This window comes from Homo sapiens, chromosome 16, assembly GCF_000001405.40.
Source record: "Homo sapiens chromosome 16, GRCh38.p14 Primary Assembly".
Taxonomy (NCBI): domain Eukaryota; kingdom Metazoa; phylum Chordata; class Mammalia; order Primates; family Hominidae; genus Homo; species Homo sapiens.
In genome coordinates, this window is record NC_000016.10 from 69,879,113 (window position 1) to 69,905,223 (window position 26,111).

Here is a 26,111-nt window from a genome sequence, read left to right on the forward strand (position 1 = left end):
AGTATTTGATCATTTGTCCTTCCGAGATTTAGAAGTTTATTTTAGAGGTTTATATAAGTTCTTAGTATATTCTAGGTACAATTTTTAAAAATTGTAGTGAAAAACACATAACATGAAATTTACCATTTAAACCATTTTTAGGTGTGTAATTCAGTGGCATTAATTATAATCACAATGTTGGGTAACTATAACCACCAGTGTCCATTTCCAGAACTTTTTCATCATCCCAAACGGATTCTCTGTATCCATTAAACAATAACATTTCCCCCCAACCTGACCGGCCCCCGCCCACAGCCCATGGTGACCCCTATTCTCCTGTTTCTGCATTTTCTTATTCTAGATACCTCATATAAGTGGATTAACGTGTCCTTTTGTGTCTGGCTTATTTCACTTAATGTGGCATTTTTGATTCATCCATGTTGTAGCGTGTGTCAGAATTTCCTTCCTTTTTAAGGCTGAATAATATTCCGTTGTATATACATACCACATTTTGTTTCTCCATTCATCTGTAGATGGACATTTGGGTTGTCTCCACCTTTTGGCTGTTGGAATAATGCGGGTGAGAACTTGGCTGTACAAGTATCTGAGCCCAAGATTTCAGTTCTTTTGGTTGTATACCTAGGAGTGGAATTACTATGGTGATTTTGTATTTAACATGTCATGCCCATGCTAATGGGCATGACGTGTGTAGCTGCAAATTTTATCTGTTACATTTATAAGTTTTCCCATATCACTGTTTTGCATTTTATCTTACTTCTGTGAGTATTGCAGAAAAGGATTTAAGAATTTTAAAAATAATTAGGCCTGTGCATTTAAAAAATGTGTATAATTTCGGTTTTTGCGTCAATAATGTAAAAGTTCTTATCTATAAAATGAGATACTTTTTTTTTTCTTTATGGCCACATTGGTTCTGCAGAGATAAATACTTTTTTCTGTTTTCGCTTGCTTTCTTCATGATGTTACGTTATCAAAATAAATATCCCATTAGAATTTATAGTGTTATATGTGTCACTATAATATATAACTATAAATATGTATTTATACATAATATATATTATATAGACATGTATATAAAATGAGGACTGGGTCTAAATTATTTTCTATGCTGGGATCCTATTGTCACAAAGACATTAAGTAAACAGTGTCATTTTTTACTGTGATTTTTTTTTTAGTGTTGATCACTTTTAACATTCTTACATACAGTGAGAATTTGTTTCTTGTTTTGAGTAAGTCCCATATGATTTTTATTACTGATGTGTTATCGTATTTTCTTTAATGTCTGGAAGAGCTAGTTTTGCCTTTTTTTCCTCCATGATATTCTTTGATCGTTCATACATTTTCAAAACAAATTTCAGACTTTGAATTCTTTGAAGCACAGTAGGATGTAAGTAGGAACTGTGTTCATCTGTATATACACCGGGGAAGGATTTTACCTTCCCATCAATCAGGTAACACAGTATGGCTTCGTCCATTTTTAAGTTTTGCTCCTTTTTTCCTCACGTAATATAACTGTTTTTCTTTATATGAGCTTCACTCATCCCATGCCGTGCTAATTACGAAATCTTTGTCCAGTTTTGGTTGCTGTCGTGAAGAGCCGACTGATCAGCTGCCTTGGCAGTGCAGTTGCTTGTGTTTCACGGGTGAAAGACACCAACTGCTTTACTGTGGCCCACATGTTACGAGCTGATCTTCAGTAGAAAGAACTTCTGTTGTTATTGGTGCTGGCTTTCTACGTGCCTGAGTGCAGGGCCGAGAAGTCCTGAGTGTCCACCACGAGTCTGTGATACACCACACGCACCTAAGCATCTTGGAACACACAGTGGACTGGCAGTGTCTCTAGGATTAAGCAAAAGAATTTCCAATTCCTGATCTTTTTTTTGGCTAACTGTGACTAGAGTGTGTCCCAGTCCTGAATGAATATGTGATTCATAAAGTTAGAATGTTTCACCAACATCACAGAGGGAACCTTGTGAAATACCCAAGGTTATAGAAAGCAGAGGCCATGCAACTGCCATCTTACTGCTTACCATTTGGTACCCCACTTTCCCTCCTTGGTACCCCACTTTCCCGGTCCTTGATACCCTACTTTTCCTCCCATTTGGGAAACATCAAAGCTGTCTTCGCTCCCCACGCCCACTGTTTTTACTTCGTGGTGTTCTGGTTTGAGTACTGGTTCTGCTACTTGCTGACTGCACAACACCTCTCTGAGTGGTCCCTCTGTGAGCCTCAGTTTTGTCTGCAGTGAAATGGGAATAATAATATCTTCCTCATAAGGGCATTGGGAGGATCAATGAGCTAATAAAAGTAAACTTGCTAAAGGCAATGCAGGATCCTGGGTTGGATCTTGGAACAGAAATAAAACATTAGTGCAAAAGTTGGTGAAATCCAAATAAAGTCTGGAGTTTAGTTAATAGTAGTATACTAATTATTATTTTAGCATTGGCAAATGTGCCATGATTATATAAGATAGTATTATTAAGGGAAACTGGGTGAAGACCATACTATCTTTTCAGATTTTCTGAAAGTAATATCCAAAATTATTCCAAAATAAAACAAAAAGAACCTGTGGTTTTAAATTTTTTAAATTTTTTATTTTTTAGATAGAGCCTCACTCTGTCACCCAGGCTGGAGTGCAATGGCATGCTCTCAGCTCACTGCAGCCTCCCCTTCCTGGGCTCAAGCGATTCTCCTGCCTTAGCCTCCCGAGTAGCTGGGACTACAGGCACACGCCACCACACCCAGCTATTTTTTTCTATTTTTAGTAGAGACAGAGTTTTGCCATGTTGGCCAGGCTGGTCTTGAACTCCTGACCTCCAGTGATCCACCTGCCTTGGCCTCCCAAAGTGCTGGGATTATAGGGGTGAGCCACTACGCCCGGCCTAATTTTTGTATAGATGGGGTTTTGCCATGTTGACCAAGCTGGTCTCGAACTCCTGGCTTCAAATGATCCACCTGCTTTGGCCTCCGAAAGTACTGGGATTACAGGCATGAGCCACCGCGCCCAGCCTAAGTTTTGTATTTTTAGTAGAGACGGGGTTTCACCATGTTGACCACACTGGTCTTGAACTCCTGACCTCAGGTGATTCACTTGCCTCGGCCTCCCAAAGTGCTGGGATTATAGGTGTGAACCACTGCGCCCAGCCTAAAGAACCTGTTTTGTAAATGATATTGTTATACAAATGTCAGGTGGTTTTATTTCAAATATCTTTCTTTTATTTTTTAGTTTTTAATTTTTTTTATTTCTTTTCTTTTCCCTTTGAAACTCACCTATTCAATCAAATATCTTTCTTTTGCTAGATTATTGGGCTTATTGAATAAGTATTTCTTGAACAAATATTTATCAAATGTTAAGCATTACGGACAATGTAAAGCATATAAGATAAGGCCTCTGCCCTATGATCTTGTTCCAGAAAAGAAGTTGAAACCACACATCAGCAAAGTCAAAACAGCATGTCACAGGGGCTGTGCGACTGTGTAGCTGAGACCATGGGTGCTGTGGGCTTCACAGTGTGGAGTGCTTTCCCTGGGCCGCAGGGGTCGGGAGGGCGTCCAGGGAAGAAGGCCGATGTGGGCAAAGAGATGCAGCAAGAACACAAGGGACAGAGAGTGGAAGTAGTGAAAAATGCGGGAAACAAATCTGCCCTCGCTCTCAAGATGGGTGCAGTCCTTTTGGGGAGATATGGGTGTACATCAAATAATTAGGATTAAAAGTTAGAGAACATTGGCTATATTGAATACAGTTAAAAGTTAATACAGCAGACCGGGTGCGGTGGCTCATGCCTGTACTCCCAGAACTTTGGGAGGCTGAGGCAGGCAGATCACTTGAGGTCAGGAGTTCCAGACCAGCCTGGCCAACATAGTAAAACCCCATTTCTACTAAAAATACAAAAATTAGCCAGGCGTGGTGGCACTCGCTTGTAATCCCAGCTACTTGGGAGGCTGAGGCAGGAGGATCGCTTGAACCCAGGAGGTGGAGGTTGCAGTGAGCCAAGATCATGTCACTGCACTCCAGTTTGGGTGGCAGGGTGAGACTCCATCTCAAAAAAAAAAAAAAATTAATACAGCAATTCTGTAAGGCATGATGGACTTGTAACTCCTTGTCTTCGACAATCCAGTTTTTCTATTTGAAGCCTCATTAGACTTGAGTATGGTGCCCTGTCCCTGGTTGACCAGGGTGACCGTGGGCCAGTAATGTATTGTTAGAACTTAATTTCTGCTGACTATGAGTTGTGATGGGGTGGATTGACTCCTGAGGTTCTTTCAAGCTTTCATGTTCTAAGAATGTGCGCACACACACACACACACACACACACACTCATTTACTCCTACTTTTTGAGGGCAGAAGAAGGGTACTCGTGAGTATTCGTGGGCACAGAAGGCTTGTCCATGCTAGGATATCTAGCCTTCATATTTTTCTGTTTCCAAATCTGAACTCAAGGTATAGCACAAACTTTCTTTTTTTCAACTTTAAGTTCCGGGGTACGTGTACAGGATGTGCAGGTTTGTTACATCGGTTAAACATGCGCCATGGTGGTTTACTGCACAGATCAACCCATCACCTAGGTATTAAGCCCAGCATCGGTTAGCCATTCTTTCTGATGCTCTCCCTCCCCGCACCCCACCCTGCAAAAACTGTTAAACAGAAGAGCTACTATGGGTGAACCAGGTTGACTCAGAGGCTCTTGGTTAGGCCTGTGGACATGTACAGCCCTGGAGGGAACCTTCCTAACTAGATTTGCAGCTGCATAAACAGTCAGATCCGAGTAGTGTTGATTGGAGGGTCTTCTGCCCTGGCATGCCATGGGGGCTCTGCTTTTGTTCTTTTCGTGGTCAGCTATTTCGTAATAATTATTTTTAATAGTTATATGTTACTAAAACTTTAAAAAAATAAAAGCTTAGACAGTATAAAGAATGTCTTTTTCCTATTCTGCTCACCTTCAGTTTCCTCCTCCAAGGCCCACTGTTGTGTTTCTTGCGGTTCTTTCAAAGATATTCTTGGAATATACAAGCGTATGTATATATATTCCTTGAAAAAACACACACATGTGTATGCACACAAACTCACAAATGATAGCACAATTATACATTGTTCTGCACTTTTTCGTTTAGTAGTTATCTTAGAATGTTCCCATAGTATTTGAAGCTAACTTGAAGAGCTTCGTTCACCTCCCCTTTCCCCACTAACTCCAGCCAAGGATGGGGACAATTTTAGGATCAAAAAGAATATTAGGCTGGGTGCAGTGGCTCATGCCTGTGATCCCAGCACTTTGGGAGGCTGAGGTGGGAGGATCGCTTGAGCTCAGGAGTTTGAGACCAGCCTGGGCAAAATAGTGAGACCCTATCTCTACAAAAAATAAAACTAAAAATTAGCCAGGCATGGTAGCATGAGCCTGTAGTCCCAGCTGCTTGAGAGGCTGAGGCAAGGGGATTGCTTGAGCCTGGGAGGTCAAGGCTGCAGTGAGCCATAATTGTGCCACTGCACTCCAGCCTGGGTGACAGAGCAAGACCCTATCTTAAAAACAAAAAACAAAAAACAATGGATTGAAATATTTTAAAACATATTTGAATCCAGTGCCTCATAAAGATTCTTAAACAAAATGAAACCTCATTGTTCATTTTTAGAGGATGCAAGGAAATCAACTCATTCTGAAGACTGGTAAACAAAGGGAAAGAAGCAAGCATTTCTCCTGCCTTTTCTTTACAAACTGAACCTCCAGGAAGCCAAATAGTTGATATGGGGAGGTTTCTCTTTACAGAAGTATTGTAGCTAATAAATGAAGAAGGTGTGGTAGAATTAGAATATTACTATTTTGCAGGCTTCAGTGAATTATTTAATTATTTAAGCCTATTTCTGAACTTTCTTATTAATTGACACTTGCCTATTCATACATCAGTACCACATTGTTTTAATTGCTGTAGCTTTGTAGTATGTTTTAATACTTTAGAAACTCCCCCTACACACACACACCACTCTTTTACAAACTCCTCCTACACACACACACACACACACACACACACACACACACACATTCTTCTTCTTTAGAATGTTCATGGCTATTCTTGTGTATTTAGTTTTCCTAATAAATTTTAGAATAAATTCATCTAGCTCTGAAAAAAGTCATAGTGTTTTTTTTAAAATTGAGTAAAATGTATAGCTGTGCATAAAGTGAATTGCCATCTGTTGTGTTTTACTGGCTTGCCTGAGATAGAATAGGAATATAAATATCAAGCCTTGCATTTCTGTTAGGGAAACATTAATTGCACAAGATTTAGTCATTTATTAAACAACTAATTTAGCCTGTGTACCAGGCAATATTTTATATACTTCAGAGAAAACAAGCAAATAAATCATAGCCAATTTCTAGCATCAGGCTCTTACCTGTTTGTTAAGATCTAGCTTGGTATCCATCACATCATATGAAGAAATTTGACTTTCAGCTGACCACCAGTTCCATGTGTGCCAATTTTTACATGGTTGCTAAGAGTTATTATAATCTTCGGTTGAATTAGAGGATGTGCAGAGAGGGAGAAGTGGAGCATAGTGACAAGTGGTTTAGGCTCTGGAGGCAGACACCAGGGTGTGAATTAGGTGCTATATGACCTTGAGAGGTGTTGTAGCCTCTTTGAGCTATAGTTTCCTTAAGTGTTAAGTGGGGATATCAATTGTAACTAACTTGTGGGGTTGCGTGTGAGGCCTAAATGAGATAATCTAAAGTGCTTTGCACCTTTCCTGCACATGCTGGTGTTCTGGAAATGTTACCTGGTATTTAAGTTGGTAATCTGACTCTGCTGGCCTCATGGTATCTGATTTATTATGTTTAGTTCCTGATATGATTAGCTAGAAGAGGCAGTAGATGATATCTCGAAGAGGGCAGCCAGATGATCGGGAAAGGGGGGTTGCCTAGAAACACTGAAGAAATGGTAGGCCTCTTTACTAGAAGAGGGAATACTAACATGAAACAGTAGCCATTGATTGGTTGGTTGATTGATTGATGGGTCTCACCCTGTCACCTAGGCTGGGTTGCAGTGGTGCAATCATGGCTCACTTCAGCCTCCACCTCCTCAGCTCCAGTGATTCTCCCTCAGTCTCCTGAGTAGCTGGGACCACAGGTGGGCACCACCATGCCCAACTACTCTTTTAAATTATTTGTAGAGATGAGTCCTCGCTAGGTTGCCCAGGTCTGGAATTCCTGGGCTCAAGCAATCCTCCTGCTTCAGGCTCCCAAAGTGCTGGAATTAGAGGCAAAGTATCTAGGTATCCGGCCTAGATACTTTGAATTGCTTTGGAGATAGAGATGGGGAGACTCAGACCAGGTAATAGAATCAGCCTCACATGAAGAAAAAAAAAAACCAAACAACTTTCTGGGCCAGGTGCCCTGGCTCATGCCTGTAATCCCAGCACTTTGGGAGGCTGCAGTGGGCATATCACTTGAGGCCAGGAGTTCGAGACCAACCTGGCCAACATGGTGAAACCCCGTCTCTATTAAAAATACAAAAATTAGCTGGGTGTGGTGGCGCACACCTGTAATCCTAGCTACTTGGGAGACTGAGGCATGAGAATTGCTTAAACCTGGGAGGCAGAGGTTGCATTGAGCCAAGATGGCGCCATTCCACTCCAGCTTGGGTGACGGAGCGAGACTGTGTCTCAAAACAAAACAACCCCTCACCAACTTTCTGGCAAGTACATCTGTTCAATGATGGGATGATTCTATAGTGAGCTCCCTGTAAGAAACGTTCACGAAGAATCTGGATAGCCACTTGTTAGGGATACAACAAAAAGAATTTCTGCATTAGGAAGATGAGGCTAAATGATGACTAAGGTGTTTTCCTATGAATTTCTAGTATACATGTACACATATGCAATCATATATATGGAAAATTCTCTGCATATAGCTTATCACTTCCAAAAAACCACAGTTCTTTGAAACCTTATTTGATCCTTTTTTGAGTTAGAGGATATTGCAATGCACCTTGGGGTCCTTGTGAACGTAAGTGATCATCAAAGAGGTGAAGAGATGGTGAAATAGGGAGACTTGGGGACTAGTGTGTTTCACTTCTGTCTCATTGTCTATTATCTCAGAGAGAAGACCCTTAGCTATGAGCCCTTCTTGCTTCCTACTTTGAGCATGAGCCTTTACAAGAATGAGCACATTACTGGAAGTTTTCTGCCTCTTTAGTGTGTATGAGCTTTTTGAAAGAAGGTGCTAGTCATGTCTAGCAAACAAATGACAAATTTAAAGAAAAGGATGTGACCCTATAAACTTGGCCTTGCTGCATTTAGCCCCAACACTTTTTTTTTTTGAGACACAATTTTGCTGTCAGGCAAATTTTTTGCAAGGCTGGAGTGCAGTGGCATAGTCTTGGCTGACTGCAAACTCTGCCTCCCGGGTTCAAGCGATTCTCCTGCCTCAGCCTCCCAACTAGCTGGGATTATAGGTGTGCGCCACCATGCCCAGCTAAATTTTGTATTTTTAGCAGAGACGGGGTTTTGCCATGTTGGCCAGGTGGATCTCGAACTCCTGACCTCAAGTGATCCGCCTGCCTCAGCCTCCCAAAGTGCTGGGATTACAGTTGTGAGCCACTGCGCCTGGCCCCAACACATTCCTGTTATGTTGATCTTTCCTGCTACTCTTTTGTTGCAATAAATGTAAATGTAACCACAGTATGTTAGAAAAACTTGATAAAGTTATGTAAAAAAGGTAGTGTTAATATATTTATTTCGGATTCATCCTGATTTCCTTTGGACAGGCATTAATGACTTGCTGTACTTTTCAAAGTCATGTTTTGTAAAACTTTTTGCTGTCGCCCAATACATGTAGTGTAACATTGTAGATACCATGTTAGCCTATTAAGTGAAAAACCTAGCAAGTATAAATAAAATTCTCATTCTTAGTTGATCTTTAAAGTATGATTTGTGCATCTTCAGTGAATGATGAACCCACAACAGCCACTGATCCCGAAGAACCTTCCGTTGTTGGTGTGACGTCCCCACCTGCTGCACCCTTGAGTGTGACCCCGAATCCCAACACGACTTCTCTCCCTGCCCCAGCCACACCGGCTGAAGGAGAGGAACCCAGCACTTCGGGTACACAGCAGCTCCCAGCGGCTGCCCAGGCCCCCGACGCTCTGCCTGCTGGGTGAGTAGTCTTCTGTCCCATAACAGATCTCTCCTCCTCAAAGACTGAGGCTCCTTTACGGGGGTGGAAACAACGTGGTTATTTATTACCTAGTGGCTAGTAGCCTCTGGGGAGGCTGCTGTGCATTGAAGCAAGGGAGGTGTGGAAGAACTGCTTGTTCTACATAAATCTTAAAAAGAATCTCAGTCGCCTGGGGCAGAATCAATGCTACCTTGTACTGTGACTTGAAATGAACAGCTTGACTCAAAGAGTGTGGCTTTTACGGAACAAGGAGCTCATTTTGCTTTCCTGAATCATTGGAGGATGTTCGCCTAGATCCTGCCTAGAAAACAGCTTTTCTCTCTTGAATTTTATCGTATCAGCCCACGGAGGAGTTGGGTTTTAGGCTGTGAATATTGCTGTATGTTATTCTCATAATCGGGACTTAAGTTAACATAAACTACAAGTTTTCTTGCCATCCTTTTTTTTTTTTAGAGATGGAGTCTTAATCTGTCACCCAGGCTGGAGTGCAATGGCACGATCTCAGCTCACTGCAACCTCTGCCTCCTGGGTTCAAGTGATTCTCCTGCCTCAGCCTCCCAAGTAGCTGGGGCTACAGGTGCACACCACCACACTGGCTAATTTTTTTGTATTTTTAGTAGAGATATGGTTTCGCCCTGTTGGCCAGGCTGGTCTCGAACTCCTGACCTCACATCATCCACCTGCCTCGGCCTCCCAAAGTGCTGGGATTACAGGCAGGAGCCACCACACCCGGCCCTCTTGCCATCCTTTAGTTCAGTCAGATGGCGTGGTGGCTCACGTGCCAATCAATTCCATTGCTTTGGGAGGCTGGGGTGGGAGGATCACTTGAGGCCAGGAGTTTGAGACCAGCCTGGGCAATATAGTGATATCCTGCCTACACACACACACACACACACACACACACACAAATGTGGGCACAGTGACCTGTGCCTGTAGTCGTAGCTACTGGGGAGGCCAAGGTGGGAGGATTGCTTGAGCCAGGAGTTAGAGGCAGCAGTGAGCTATGATCACACCACTGTACCCCAGCCTGGACTATGAAGCGAGACCCCTGTCTCAAAAATAAAAATTAAATCTGACAGCAAAGACCTTGGATGATAAGAAGACAGCCCCTGTAAGCCAAAGGGAAGTTCAAGTTTGGTTATATGGTGAGTGGAGATTATAAGCATGGACCTGTGAATCAGACAGCTCTGGGTTTGAATCCCCCCACCATGTGACCTTGGCCGAATGACTTAGCCTCTTGATAAGGTGGAGATAATCATCATACATATCTCCCCAGGAAGTTAAGGGACTCAAATAAGATGGTGAACATGAAGCCCTCACTGATTGGTGGGTGTTACACCTGGTAAGTGATATTTTCCGAGTGGTTGTGAAGGGGCCCTAAAGGAAGGGCATGCTTCTGAACCGGGAGGTGAAGTCCCTTCTTCGCAGCTCTGATCATGGTTGGGGCCAGTTTTCACTGCCTCTCCTGGTTATCAGTTTGGTGTGGAGGAAACCCACATCTGTGTCACTCTAGTTGCTGGTGATCTGGTTGACGATGACTTGGTGGTGTGTATCCTGTGAACCGTTGTGATTCATAAAGGAAAAAAGAAGGGTGTAAGGCCTCTTACTTGACTACAAGGTGCTGTATTATTCTTTTTTTCACTCCCTTATCCCATCTCTTTATTCTATTATTAAGCCACTTTCATTGTTGTTGTTGTTGTTTGAGACAGGGTCTCACTCTGTTGCCCAGGCTGGAGTGCAGTAGTACAGTCTTGGCTCACTGCAGCCTTGACTTCCTGGGCTCAAGCGATTCTTCCACCTCAGCTTCCCAAGTAGCTGGGACTACAGGCGTGCACCACCATGCCTGGATAATTTTTTTTTTTTTTTTTTGTAGAGACAGGGTTTTGCCATGTTGCCCAGGCTGGCTTAAGCCACTTTCAAAAACCCAGTTGTCAAAACAAAAATCTTTTATCGGAAGGCACATGTGACCTTTACTACGTACGTATTGTTTTCCTAGCATGCGCCACGCTACCTAACTCCCGTCTGTTCAGAAAGTCCTGTTCCACATACCTTTGTACCTCAAACCTGGAGAGAATTGGCAGGATTGAGAGGCAGCTCTGGGATGTTTTTTTGTGAGGTTTTTGATTTTAGTGAAGGTTAAAGTGAAAAGCTCACTAATCAATTGCTTTGTGTCCAGCTACTCCCTATAGAGATATTTCTCTTTTGTATGTGGTAAGGAATACTCGAAAGACCTTTGTTTGGTTTGTAATTTCAAGCCTGTATGTTATAATTTGGGGGGAACAATGCAGAATCATGTTGGCAGAAAGGAGAGAAAATGGCCGCCTGTGTCCCCAGTGAGCTGTTTGTTTTCTTTCCGCTGAGCGAATGCCTGGAAGGCCGGCCTCACTCCTGTGTCAGTCACAGGCAATTAGGGCTAATGGCTCAACATGTCTTTATGTAGGGCGTGTGTGAGGGTTACTGTTCTCGGGGATTGGGCACTTCCTGTTTCCAGGCAGCTGGAAAACTCCAGGCTCTGAAAACGCTCTTTATTCTAAGTCTGGCAGATCGAGCAGCCCAGGGAAGCCGATTCCCCTCCCTCATCCTGCCAGAGGCTGAAACACGTTTCTGAGGTAGAGCCTAAACAGCATCTTTTCCTTGGGGCATTTAGAACGTGATGAGGGCCACATGTGGGCCTGGGGAGGCTGCTCCCCACTTGAACATGTACGATGGTCCAGAGAAGGGTGTCGGAGACCCAATTTTCCAACCCAGATGGCTTCCACGTGCTCTTCTCTAAGATGGCTAGGAGGGCTCTGTGGGCTGACTCGGGGCCTGGAGATCGTCAGCCACCTACCTGGAGACTGACTAGCACTGCTGAGTGTCTAAGAGGGAGCATGGCAGGCTTTTGGTTGGCTGATGGAAGCCAGAGAGAGTACTATTTCTGCCAGCGATCCTTCCAGTTCATAGGCCTGCCAGCCCCACCCCAGTTTACTTAAAAGTTTAGGAGATCCAGGCAAGGCGGGTTATTAATTTACCCCTGGTGTTCCAGAGTCAGGGGACCAATGAGAGAAGGAAATCTGTCATTTCTAATTCCAATACCAACAAAGGGTGTGTTGTGGCAAAGGGATTGGAGTGCTATCTCTTAGGAACTGCATCTTCTTGAGTTTGCAGAATGCCTTTATCTTTTATGAGGATATATAAATGCAGCAGCTGAATTGAGTATCTACTAGTGCCCAAGTTCTATATTCGAGGTTTTACACTGTTGATTCTTTCATTAGACAGAATATCTGTTACTATTTAAGAGACAGCAGGTCAGGTACTGGGTATGGCAGATGCAGTGCTAAACAAGAAATGGTTCTTGCTACCAGACTGTTTCATGATGCGTGCCCTGGTCACTCAGTTCTCCCCCTGGCTCGACTCAGCCATTCCCTTGGCTGCCTCTGGGATCTGATGCTAAGTCCATATCTGCCTCTTGAGCCCAGTTCTCTCCTGACTCACTACCTGGACAGTTCCATGTAGCTATCTCAACCCAACAGAACTTATCATCTTACCCATCCCATCCGGGCTAGAACCTGGTCCCCCTCCTGGGAATGGTGCCACCATTTGCCCAGGTGACCTTCAAGTCATACATCTTTCCCCTGACCCTGACATCCGTTCAGTCATCAAGCCCTGCCTCTGGGCCTCCAGACTGTGCTGTCTCAGCTTCCCATACTGATCCTGCTTTGCATTTATCACAGGTGTAATTTGCATACGATTTATTAAGTGACCATCTCCTCCACCATACTCTAGGTGCCATACGGGCAGGGATTGTGTCTTTCTTATTTGCCTCTGAATGCCCAGCACCTAGCACATATGCACCTAGCCTGGCACATAGTGGGACTCCAGGAAATAGTTAAATGAAACAATGATTCTCTCTTTTTTTTAATTTAAAATTTTATTTTATGATTTTTCTTTTAATTATACTTTAAGTTCTGGGGTATATATTTGCAGAATGTGCAGTTTCGTTACATAGGTATACACGTGCCATGGTGGTTTGCTGTACCCATCAACCTGTCATCTACATTAGGTATTTCTCCTAATGCTATCCCTCCCCTAGCCCCCCACCCACCCCTGACAGGCCCCGGTGTGTGGTGTTCCCCTCCCTGTGTCCATATGTTCTCATTGAAACAATGATTCTCTTAAACAACTCTCAAATCTGCCCACTTGGCTACATGCTTTTGCAATATTCCAGACCAAATTACCATGATCTGTCACTCGAGTGACTGTTCTTACCCTTTCCCAATCTATTTTAACTTTTCTTTTTTTGAGACATTGTCTTACTCTGTCACCCAAGCTGGAGTGCAGTTGTGCAATCTTGGCTCACTGCAGCCTCAGCCTCACGGGCTCAAGTGATCCTCCCACCTCAGCCTCCTGAGTAGCTGGGACTACAGGTGCCTGCCACCACACCCAGCTAATTTTGTTTATTTTCACAGAGACAAGGTCTCCCTATGTTTCCAAGGCTGGTCTCAAACTCCTAGGCTCAAGCAATCCTCCTGCCTTGGCCTTCCAAAGTGCTGGGATTACAGGCATGAGCCACTGCGCCCGGCCCTGTTTTAACTTTTAAAAATAAAACTCTGAGCATGACCTTTCACCATTTAGAATGCTCCAGTGGCTTCATATTGTCTTTGGGGATAAATTCCCAAATCCTTAATAAGGCCTAAAAAGGCCTGTGTAATATGACCCCACCTACCCTTCAAGCCTTCGGTGGGATCCACTCCACATCTCTGCCTAAGCCACGATAACTTAACTTTAATTTGACAAATGCATCACCCTCTCTCCGGACTTAGGATCCTCCCCCATGCTGGTCACTCTTTCTGAAACCTTCCTTGCCATCTTGTCCATTAATTCCTATACATCTTCAAGTGTCAACTTAATCAGTAAATCCTCTGGGACTCCCTCCCGGATCCCTGGTGGACAAGAAGAAGTGTGTCCTTCCTCTGTCACTCTTCTCACACCTGTCATTGCTTGTTTTCTGCCTCTCTGCTATTCTTGGCTCTGCACACCAAGGTGGCCGGGAGCCTGGCACAGAGTAGGCTCCCAAGACATGTTTGCAATGAATGGATGAGTGCTTTTAAATGCCATCTTTTTTTTTCTTTCCTTCACCTAGATGAATGTTTTTTGCCTCTTTGATGCCTCAAAGAAAGAACAGCTATGACAGCAATATTGCATTTTCTTCCCAAGGGCAAGAAAGTTGAGCCTAATGCTGTCATTCACTGGCTTGACTGGCTTTGGGTTCAAATATGCATCTCTCATAGTTCAGAATGCTGTTTTTTTTGTTTGTTTGTTTTTGTTTTTGTTTTTGTTTTTTTGAGATGGAATGTCACTCTGCTGGTCCAGGCTCCGTCTCCCAGGTTCAAACAATTCTCCTGCCTCAGCCTCCCAAGTAGCTGGGAGTACAGGCTTGCGCCACCACGCCCAGCTAATTTTTTGTATTTTTTAGTAGAGCCAGGGTTTCACCATGTTGGCCAGGCTGTGCTCGAACGCCTGACCTCAAGTGATCCACCTGCCTCGGCCTCCCAAAATGCTGGGATTACAGGAGTGAGCCACTGCACCCAGCCCTCAGAATGCTCTTCTCTGTTCATAAAGGATCGCTCTTCCTGCACTGGCAGATACTGTGCAGCACGGCTCCTCTTCACTGAGGCATTTGAGCTAAGCTTGATTGCTTTCTGGGCCCTCCAGGGGACTCTGTCTTTCTAACTTTATCTTCTCAACTCATCCAGTCTCCCTCACTGAGTGACAGGAGCAAGGTTCTCTTGGGGATCTCATGGCTGTATTTTTCAGGTTGCTGCATTTTTTTTTTTTTTAACTGAGATGGAGTCTCGCTCTGTCACCCAGGCTGGAGTGCAGTGGCAAGATCATGGCTCATGGCAGCCTCAAATTCCAAGGCTCAAGTAATACTCCTGCCTCGGCCTCCCGAGTAGCTGGGACTACAGGCGCATGCCACTATACCCAGGCTATTTTTTTTTTTTTTTTTGGTAGAGATGAGGGTCTCACTCTGTTGCCCATGCGGATCTCAAACTCCTGGGCTCAAGCGATCTTCCCGCCTTGGCCTCCCAAAGTGCTGGGATTCCAGGCATGAGCCACCGCACCTGGCTGCATTGTCTTTTTGAAATATGCAGCAGATGAGACTTTGGCCATATGTGGTTACACACGTCTGCACGTTTTAAGAACTGAAGGCTGCTGAAACCTGGGCTGAAGATGTCCAAATACAGCACTCCCCATCCCTTTTCTCTGTCCCCATCTGTAAACCCTCCTGCTTTCCATAGCTTTTAAATTAACTAGCGTGAAAGAAGCCAACTGGAAGGGTATGAAGTTTTCAGGTTGCAAATGTCTGTGAAAGAAGGGGTGCCAGGAAGGTTTGAAGGGGCTAGTGAGATAGTGGTTCAGGCCGTGGGCAATGGGAAGCGAGGCTGCTTTGGTCTGCAGGCCCTGTATCTGTTTTTTCTCAGCGCTCAGCCCACTTTGGGGACCCAGTGCTCATTATCAATGAGCCAACTGTGTGTACATGGCTTAGATAAACTCCAAGTGTGTCCCTTACAGTCTTTGCAGCTCCCTCGGTCCCACACACACAGAGGCACATTATTTTGCCCTGGCAGCCAGCACGCCACTGTGGTTTCTTACATAACGGAGGGCGTTGTGTTTGGACTGCCGACTTACTTCAGCTCTGCCATTTCACACCATGCTTTTTCTCCCGCAGCCATTGGCTGCCCCGTCTGTTTCCTGCCTCCGAGTGGAATTAATTGAGGAGGGATGTTTTCTGGATCTTTCGGATTTGCCATCTCCTCTACCCCCCTGCCCAATTATGGATATCCAGAGGCACTCTCTTGAGATGGCCCTTAAGACACTATCAAGGACGACAGCCTTGTAAGAGTTCTTGGATGTTTGTTTGTGGGGACACTCTAAGAGATGTTGGAATTTGGAGCTTCTCTGCTAAGTTATAAACCAGGCGCTGCCATTGAATTTCATTCCAAACTCAACTTCAGCACTAGCCAAAGAGTCTTACCCAAGGAGTTTTAACACTGAGCTGCTCAAAACTATTTGTGAGAAAACAGTCCTTTTTGGTTGTTGTTTTGTTTTAATTTATTTTAAAATAGTCTGTCTATTGTGAATCCTTTAATTCTATACTCTGTTCAATGAGACGAATCTATTGAGCACACATGTGGATATTACAGCAATGTCAGATCGGTACAAAAGTTCCTAAAGTGGGCCAGGCTCATGCCTGTAATCTAGCACTTTGGGAGGCCGAGTCAGGAGGATTGGTTGAGTCCAGGAGTTCGAGACCAGCCTGGGCAACATAGCAAGACTTCGTCTCTACAAAAAATACAAACAAAAACATCAGCTGTGTGCACCTGTGATCCTAGCTATTCTGGAGGCTGAGGCAGGAGGATCGCATAAGTCCCGGAAGTCGAGCCTGTAGTGAGCTGTGTTCAAGTCACTGCCCTTCAGCCTGGATGACTGAGTGAGACCCTGTCTCAGTTAAAAGAAAAAAAAGTTTCTAAGTGCTTAGAAACTTCAGTACTTTTCTGGTCACAGAACAGTAACAGTTTGGGCTGTGGACCATTCTTTGAGTAGCATCAGATTAAAGGATTACACTGAGCGTCTGTGTCTTTCCTCCAGTTTGTTTCTTTGCTTAGTATGGTTAGTTTGTGACTCTGCAGGGATTGTTACATGCTTAGGTCACATGGAATAGTGTGTGTTTCTGGCTTCCTCATCACCATCTCAGAACTTAAACTCTTATTTCCAAAGATTCTACTGTTGTCGGAGGCTGGGCCATGAGATGTTTTCACCTTATGTGTATGTATTCATGCATAATTATTCATTTTCATTTCTACTGCACTTTCTTTCCTTTTTTTGGAGACAGGGTCTCATTTTGTCACCCAGGCTGGAGTATAGTGGCGTGATCATAGCTCACTGCAGCCTCAACTTCCTTAGCTCAAGCAGTTCTCCTGCCTCAGCCTCCCAAGTAGCTGGGACTACCATGCGCCACCATGCTCAGCTAATTTTTGTACTTTTTGTAGAGACAAGGTCTTGCTATGTTACCCAGGCTGGTCTTGAACTCTTGGAGGCTCAAGCGATCCTCCTATCTTGGCCTACCAAAGTGCTGGGGTTACAGGTGTGAACCACCGTGCCCATCCTTACTGCAATTTCTTGAGAGCTCCTCAAGAGTAAAGAATATTGTGTCCGTCTTTGTGTTCCCTGTACCCAGCATACAACTTGGCTTCCAAAGAGAGGGAGTGATGTGTTACATGAGTGGGAAAATGATATCACATTCTCAGTGGCCCTTAAAATTTTTTAAAGTTTTTTTCTGATCTTATTATAAAAGCCCATTGATGGAAAATTAGAAAAAAATAGGAGGTGGGAGAAGAACAGTACATAATAACAACAGTTAACAAACACCCCCCCAGAGCTGACCATTGGTATTTCTTCTGCAGCTTGTGTGTATTTTTTTTTTTTTTTTAAACACTAACTACAGCTACCATGTATTCTAAGTGTTTCTAAGGTGCTGGGGACTGCCCAGTTTCCTACCTGGATGATTTCATGCAGTCTTCCCTCTGTGAGAGAGCTACTTTTATCCTCATCTTGCAAGTGAGGAGAACTTAAGCAATTTGCCTGGCACCACATATACAGATACACGTATAACACACATCTACCAAAAGTTGATAATCTTCCAGTATATGCTTTTAAAATCCATTCGTTTTTATTGTAAAATATTGTAAGCATGCAGATACAAATGGAGAAGAATGTAAAAAATACCTGTGGCTCATCATCTTTGGCTCTGTGCTGCATTTGCTACAGGTCTCTCCCCGTCTTTTTTTTTTTGTTTGTGTGTTTTGTTTTTGAGACAGAATCTGTGTCACCCAGGCTGGAGTGCAGTGGCGTGGTCTCAGCTCACTGCAGCCTTGACCTCCCAGGCTCAGGTGATCCTCTCGCTTCAGCCTCTCGAGTACCTGAGACCACAGGCACATCCTACCATGCCAGGCTAATTTTTATATTTTTTGTAGAGATGGGGTTTTGCCGTGTTGCTCAGGCTGGTCTTGAACTCCTGGGCTCAAGCAATCTGCTCCCCTAAACTTCCCAAAGTGCTGGGGTTACAGGTGTGAGTCACTGTGCCCGGCACCTGAGGAGGTCTTTTTTTAACCACCTCTTTTTAACCCCTTGATGTATAAGATGTTACCAGTACAGCTGAAGCTTCCATGAACTCTCTGATCTCATTCCCTGTATACAGTGATACATGGAACTTGGGACATGCATTTAAACTGCTATACGGTGTTCTGTTACATGAACAGATAAAAATTTATCCATTTACTTGTTTCTTGACAGCTAGAAAGAATGGCTGCAGTAGGCCAGGCGCAGTGGCTCACGCCTGTAATCCCAGCACTTTGGGAGGCCGAGCTGGGTGGATCACAAGGTCAGGAGTTCGAGACCAGCCTGGCCAATGTGGTGAAACCCCATCTCTACTAAAAATACAAAAATTAGCCGGGTGTGGTGGCGCATGCCTGTAGTCCCAGCTACTCAGGAGGCTGAGGCAGAAGAATGGTTTGAACCAGGGAGGCGGAGGTTACAGTGAGCCGAGATCGTACCACTGCACTCTAGCCTGGGCGACAGAGTGAGACTCCATCTCAAAACAACAAAACAAAACAAAACAAAACAAAAAAAACACAATGAAACAATGGCTGCAGTAAAGTTTTCCTGTGCATGCCTTTTTGTGTATGTGGTTTTTTCTTTTTCTTTTCTTTCTTTCTTTTTTTTTTTTTTTTGAGACAGAGTCTTGCTCTGTTGCCCAGGCTGGAGTGTGCAGTGGCACAATCTCGGCTCACTGCAACCTCCGCCTCCTGAGTTCAAGTGATTCTCCTGCCTCAGCCTCCCAAGTAGCTGGGATTACAGGCATCTACCACCATGCTTGGCTAGTTTTTGTTTTTTTAGTAGAGACAGGGTTTCGCCATGTTAGCCAGGGTGGTCTCAAATTCCCAACCTCAGGTGATCTGCCCACCTCGGCCTCCCAAAGTGCTGGGATTACAGGTGTGAGCCACCACTCCCAGCCAGTTATTTCTTAAAGATTTGTACAGCAACTGGAATTTCTGCATTATAGGAAATGAAGATCTTCAACTTCAGTAGGTATTATCAAATTGCCTGAGTCACCTAACCAATTCATACTCCTGTGAGCATGCATAAGCATTCCTGCTAAAACTTAGTGTTGTCAGGTTCGTTTCATGTGGGCCAGTCTAATGGGCATGAATGGTACATCTTTGAGGATTCAGTTTGAAGTTCCCTGATTACTATTGAGATTGAACCTCTTTTTACATGTCTTTATTAGGTTCTTTGGTTTCTTCTTTTATAAATTGCCTATTTATTTTTGTCCATTTTTTATTTGTCTTTATATATATTTATTTTTAATCTGCAGGATTCTTTTTTGTTGTTGTTTTTGTTTGTTTTTGAGACGGAGTTTCACTCTTGTTGCCCATGCTGGAGTGCAATGGCGCAATCTTGGCTCACTGCAACCTCTGCCTCCCAGGTTCAAGCAGTTCTCTTGCCTCAGCCTCTGGAGTAGCTGGGATTACAGGCATGTGCCACCACTCCCAGATACTTTTTCTGTATTTAGTAGAGACGGGAATTCACCATGTTGGTCAGGCTGGTCTTGAACTCCTGACCTCAGGTGATCCACCTGCCTCGGCCTCCCAAAGTGCTGGGATTACAGGCATGAGCCACCACACCCAGCCAATCTGCAGGATTCTTAATAATGCTAGGTACAAATTGCTTCTCAATTATACGCATTGCAAATATTTGCTCCCAGTCTGTGGCTTGTCTTTTCAATTTGCTTATGGTGCCTTTTATTGTACAAGAGTTAATAATTTTAAATAGCCAAATCTGTAATCTTTTTCATGTGTCTTTTGTGTTTTGTCTAAAATTCTTCCCTACTCCTAAGTTACATAAAAATGTTACAGGCCACACTTGGTGGTTCTTGCCTGTAACTTTAGCACTTTGGGAGGCTTAGGCAGGCAGATTGCTTGAGCCCAGGAGTTCAAGACCAGCCTGGACAGCATAGTGAGATACCCATCTCAGCAACAACAACAACAACACAAATTTTATACACATTCCACATTTTATTTATTCTGATATGCATGTTATTTCACATTTTAACTTGTTTAAAAAATCAAGATGTGGGCCGGGTGCAATGGCTCATGCCTATAATCCCAGCACTTCGCGAGGCCGAGGCAGGTGGATCACCTGAGGTCAGGAGTTCAAGACCAGCCTAGCCAAGATGGTGAAACCCTGTCTCTACTAAAAATACAAAAATTAGCCAGGTGTATTGGTGCATGCCTGTAATCTCAGCTACTCGGGAGGCTGAGGCAGGGAATTGCTTGAACCCGGGAGGCGGAGGTTGCAGAGCCAAGATTGTACCACTGCACTCCAGCCTGGGTGACAGAGTGAGACTCCGTCTCAAAAAAAAAAAAAAAAAAAAAAAAATCAAGTTGTGGTTTATAGGCACTGGGGTGGCATAATTTAATTGGCAGTGTTTTTTTTCTTAGTGTTATGTTTAATAATCTTACAATCGATGGCATTTTAGATTTGATGAAAAACAATATATAATTTCTAAACAAAATTTTGATTGTCTTAGTCATATTACTTTAAACTTGCCTTTTCTACCCAATATATTGTAAATACCTGAACAAGTCAATATTTATCTACAATGTTATTTTTAAGGAATGAATACCCATTATAGGAATAACATGATTTATTTGATTAACTCTCCATTTGGGGGTGTTTAGGTTGCTTCCAGTTTTTCTGTAACTGCTGTAATATGACGTAACAGATGCACTTATAGCTAAATTTTTGACACCTAATTATTTCTTTGGGATATGTCCTAGAAGTAAAGTAGCTGAGTTAAGGGCCATTCACAAGAAAAATAATTAAACGGTATTCACATAATAAAGGTTTTTTGGCCAAATTGCCCTTTGGAAAGAGTGTACCCATTTTTGCTCCCATTGATCGTTCTTGATAGTAACTGTCCCTATACTGCCAACCTTTTATCTGCAAAAATGTTAAAAAGAATTTTTTAGAGGCTGGGTGCAGTGGCTCACGCCTGTAATCCCAGCACTTTTGGGAGGCCGAAGCAGGAAGATTGCTTGAGCCCAGGAGTTCAAAACCACCCTGGGTAATATGGCGAGACTCTGTCTCTATTTTTAAAAAAGATAATTAAAAGAATTTTTTATAGATGCATATATTTTAATGTTGCCAACTTTTTTTTTTTTCTTTGAGACAGAGTCTTGCTCTGTCACCCAGGCTGGAGTGCAGTGGTGCGATCTCAGATCACTGCATCCTCCGCCTCCTGGACTCAAGCGATTCTCCTGCCTCAGCCTCCTGAGTAGCTGGGACTACAGGTGCGTGCCACCATGTCTGCCTAATTTTTTGTATTTTTAGTAGAGACGGGGTTTCACCATGTTGGCCAGGGTGGTCTCGAACTCTTGACCTCAGGTGATCTGCCCGCCTTGGCCTCCCAAAGTGCTGGAATTACAGGCGTGAGTCACCGTGCCTGGCTAGTGTTGCCAACCTCTATTGAGGAGCTTTGGTAAAGATAAAAAAGATAAGAAGAAAGACTTAATTCAGGAGCTTTGGTAGCTGCTCCCATGCCATCCTGTGTTTGGAGGCATAAAGTGCTGGTTGTTGAGTTATTAAAAGGTTAGTGTGCTTAGATTTAAAGGCTAGTTCCTTATTTCAGGAAGGGTCCTTCGGGGAAGGACTGAGTTTAACACATTTCCTACCCAGTTTACAAAGGACCTACTGAAGCACTAAACACAGTGCACAGGAATTATATTCCACTGCAGACAGATTGCTGACTCATAAAACAGCCTGAAAACATCCCTACAGAAGAAATAAATCTTATGGTTCTCCCCGGAAGTGGCCAAAGCTTGGAGGAAGAATAGGACTTGGCTCAGAAACATTTATTATAGGAGCATAGAATACAAAAATGTGATTTTATGTAGCTTTTGCCTGTGGGGCATTGAACTTCTGAAGAGGCAGCTTTAAGAATACTTGAGTACTTCCAGTGTATTCTTCTTAAGTTTAATTTTTGTCTAAGTAACCAGCAAGACATCTTTTCTTTAGGATGTGAAAGGGTTCAGGTGTGGTCTTATTTCCTTTTCTCTGAGATGGAGTCTTGCTCTGTCGCCCAGTCTGGGGTGCAGTGGCGCGATCTCAGCTCATTGCAAGCTCTGCCTCCCGGGTTCATGCCATTCTCCTGCTTCAGCCTCCCGAGTAGCTGGGACTACAGGCATGTACCACCACGCCCAGCTAATTTTTTTGTATTTTGAGTAGAGACGGGGTTTCACATGGTCTTATTTTCTAATGGAGAGAGTGGATTTTGATTGAGTTAGCTTTACTAATAATGCCCAGTGCTTGTGTCAGTGAAAAGTAAGCAAATTAATGAATAATACAAGCTGATAATGCTCTTACCAAGACTGAAATTTTGACCATTTTGGTGTATCAATTTATAAGGGCCACTTGAAAAGAATTGCTGTTAGCCAGGCGTGGTGGCGAGTCCCTGTAATCCCAGCTACTCGGGAGGCTGAGGCAGGAGCATCACTTGAACTCGGGAGATGGAGGTTACAGTGAGTTGAGATTGCACCACTGCACTCCAGCCTGGGTGACAGAACGAGACTTCGTCTCTAAATAAATAAATATATAAATAGAGAATTTATCTAAAATTCACTCGAACTCTTTGCCCAGCTTTAATCCCTTTTAGCTTAATCCTATTCTTGGTGAAATGTTGATTTGGTTCAAACAGGTGAATCTGACCAAGAAATATGGTGATCAGAATGGTTGAACACACACTGTAACAACGGGTAATTGAGCATTAATTTCCTGAAGACCTTTGGGAAACCTTTGACAAGAAAACATGGTTCAGGAGACCAGATGATTTCCTGTCTGATAACATGAGAGAGATGCTGATGTCATTCTAATAATGAGATGGAGATGTTTAGCCTTTAACCTGTGAAGATGGCAATTGTGAGTGGATTGGGACGTAGGGTTGGAACATGGTTCATATACAACTGAACCAAGGGCAGCTACAATCCATCAGTGCAAAGGTAATTTAGGGAAAGGAAAAAGTACCTAAGATTAATTGCAGTCAGACGGAGACTGCTTTTAAAGTACTTTGAAGTACAAAGACCTCGTGTAGTCCATGATCCAACCAAATGTTACTCATTGAAGGCCAAGGAGCAATGTGTTGGGTAGGGACTGAAAACAAGCTTGGTGCTTTGAACACTGTTCCTGAGAGCATCAACGGAAGCTATCGAGGGGGACAGGAGATGACCCATGTGACCAAGATGCAGTGTTGAGACCCGTGGGTAGTTTGATTGAAAAGCCTTTTAATCTCAGTGTGAAGGAGTTGCTTATAAGTGACAGAAATATAACCTCTGACAGGGATGCGCTGATGAAAAATTGATACCAGTGTCACTTTCTTGGCATGGGGGGGACCAAACCAAGACAGTCGGAGGCTCCATCTATGTGAGTCAGCGGCCACTGAGGAGGAACAGGAATCAGGAGGCTCGTCTGGTTGGTGATAGAATCCACCGACTGTGCTGCCTGAATGAAGGGGAGAGATTTGTGTGAATTATGAATAGCCATGCAGGTGAGGGAGGAGTGAGGTTCTGTGAGAAAGGGAGGCAGGCCAGGTCATGGATCAGGGAGGACCCGCAGGGACATTTAATCTGAGCAGGGGTCCAACTGCAAAAGGAAAAAATGATATCAAAAAAGGTGATGGAAGAAAGGTCTTGTTCCTCTGGCAACTATTCTTCTCGCTAAGCCAGTTGAGGGGGTTCATAGAAGGACATTGAGCTTTGCGGGACAATAATAGTCCCTGAAAGAGAGACTTTCATTTCCAGCATCAGCCGTGATCAAAGATGGAAGGGTGGGCCTTATCTGGGCCTGTGTCCTCTGAAGACCTGCTGAAACTGTTGAATATAAGGGAAGAGGACTCAGCACTGATTTCATTTCTGGCAGTGTGTGGGAATACCACTGTGTCAATTACAGACATTTATTTCATGGAATTTGAAGCATTAGCCTACCTTCATATTAAAACGTTAGCCAAAGTGTAATAAAATCAGTGTTTCTCTCCTTGTCTCAAATGAACATAAAAGATGTCAAAAGTGGAGACTGCTGATAAGATGAAAGTTGAAAGAATTTTTGGAATAAAAGAAAAATGGCCGGGCGCAGTGGCTCACACCTGCAATCCCAGCACTTTGGGAGGCCGAGGAGGGTGGATCACAAGGTCAGAAGATCGAGACCATCCTGGCCAACATGGTGAAACCCCATCTCTACTAAAATACAAAAAAATTAGCCAGGTGTGGTGGCGCATACCTGTAGTCCCAGCTACTCAGGAGGCTGAGGCAGGGGAATCGGTTGAACCCAGGAGGTGGAGGTTGCAGTGAGCCGAGATTGCGCCACTGCCCTCCAGCCTGGCGACAGAGCAAGAATCTGTCTCAAAAAAAAAAAAAAAGAAAGAAAGAAAAATGTGTTTAAGTTTTGTTTTTAAGCTCCAATTGCTACAACAGATATTTTGTCTTTATAAAAGGGGCAGCCCACCCAAATATTAGAGTTTTCCAAATAGTGACTGAAAAATGAGCGTACTAGTATTAGGGCTTTTGTGCCACAAAACTACCCAAAGAACTGTTTTCAAGGAAGGGAAGGATGCAGCTAAATTCTTCGGGAGTGCTGGAGAGTTCTCAGCTACTTAAATTGCATTAGGAGCAGATGTTATAAAAGAGAGGCTTGCTGCCATTGGCGCTCAGCGCTTTCATTTTTTAATACTTATCCTTAAGCCAAATATCTTTCTCAGGACTTTCTTCATTTCCAAATTCAGATGAATAAAGAGGGTATCAGATTTGCTCCTCTGTTACCGAGCAGACAGAAGGTATTTGGAGAATTGCTGTGAAGCTACAGTATGTCGGCTGTCTTCTGTGCTAGAAGGCCCTGCCAAATCCCCACAGACGAAACACCAGCCTCTTGAGCTGGCAATATTGTTACCCCTTTGCTTTTAAATCAGAAGGGCATTCAGAGGGAGAAGATCTTTAACTATACCCAGTGCGCATTTTCTTTTTTTTTTTTTTTGAGTTGGGGTCTATTGCCTAGGCTGGAGTGCAGAGGTGTGATCACGGCTCACTGCAGCCTCCAACTCCTGGGCTCAAGTGATCCTCCTGCCTCAGTCTCCTGAGTAGGTACGATTACAGGTATGTGCCAGCACATCTGACTATTTAAAAAAATTTTTTTATAGAGATGGGATCTTGCTATGTTGCCCAAGCTGGCCTCAAACTCCTGGTTTCAAGTGATCCTCCTGCCTTAGCCTCCCAAAGTTCTGGTACTGTAGGCATGAGCCACTGTACCTGGCCCTAGTGTGCATTTTCATCTGGCCACTTTTGCCAGATCCTGCCCTTTTGGTAAAATACTAAATGAAATATGAAGATCTCCCTTTTGCAGTGGGAGGAACCAGGGCATCTGGGTCAAATCCCCAGGAGTCTCATCAGTCAGAGCCTTGAGCAAGAATGCCCGGGAGAGAAAACATCCCTACATGCTATTTAATGGTGTTTGTCATGTTAAATAAGTAAGCAAGAGGCCGTTAGCCTGAAGCTGTCTCCATACTTCCAGTTCTTACATAGCAAACTACAACCTAACTTAGTACGTAAACCAACCAAAACCCAAATTAGGAGTATATGTTTTTTGTAACAAATAGCTGGGTTCCAGCCAGTCACAGGCAGGCAGCTGATCAGACCACGCCCAAATAAGGCAGACGCCCAGCTGTAGCTGTTTAGATGATTTCTCTACCTTGCTTCCGTGTTCAGCCTCTAAAGACTTGCCGCTCACACTGCTTGGCAGCGCTCTCTGAGCCTCTCCTGGTTCTGAGTGCTGCCCAGTTCCTGGATCATTCTTAAATAAACTTGGTTA

At 43.7% G+C, this 26,111-nt stretch overlaps 1 protein-coding gene across 15 annotated transcripts in view, besides 1 other annotated feature; it reads left to right on the forward strand.

Moving 5' to 3' along the window:
- The window catches only part of WWP2 (WW domain containing E3 ubiquitin protein ligase 2), a 179,408-nt gene that overhangs the window by 116,781 nt on the left and 36,516 nt on the right, over positions 1–26,111 (forward strand). For all 15 annotated transcript variants that reach the window (XM_017022879.2, XM_017022881.2, XM_011522823.3 and 12 more), the window contains one exon: positions 8,927–9,137. In XM_017022879.2, coding sequence (XP_016878368.1) covers positions 8,927–9,137 — 211 coding nt within the window. The remainder of the gene's footprint in view (positions 1–8,926; positions 9,138–26,111) is intronic.
- Positions 11,536–12,059: an enhancer, noted in NCBI's record as "NANOG-H3K27ac hESC enhancer chr16:69924551-69925074 (GRCh37/hg19 assembly coordinates)". NCBI's record gives its function as "activates a minimal SCP1, AML or CMV promoter by ChIP-STARR-seq in primed H9 embryonic stem cells {active_cell/tissue: H9 hESC(primed)}" and the evidence as "EXISTENCE:reporter gene assay evidence [ECO:0000049][PMID:30033119]".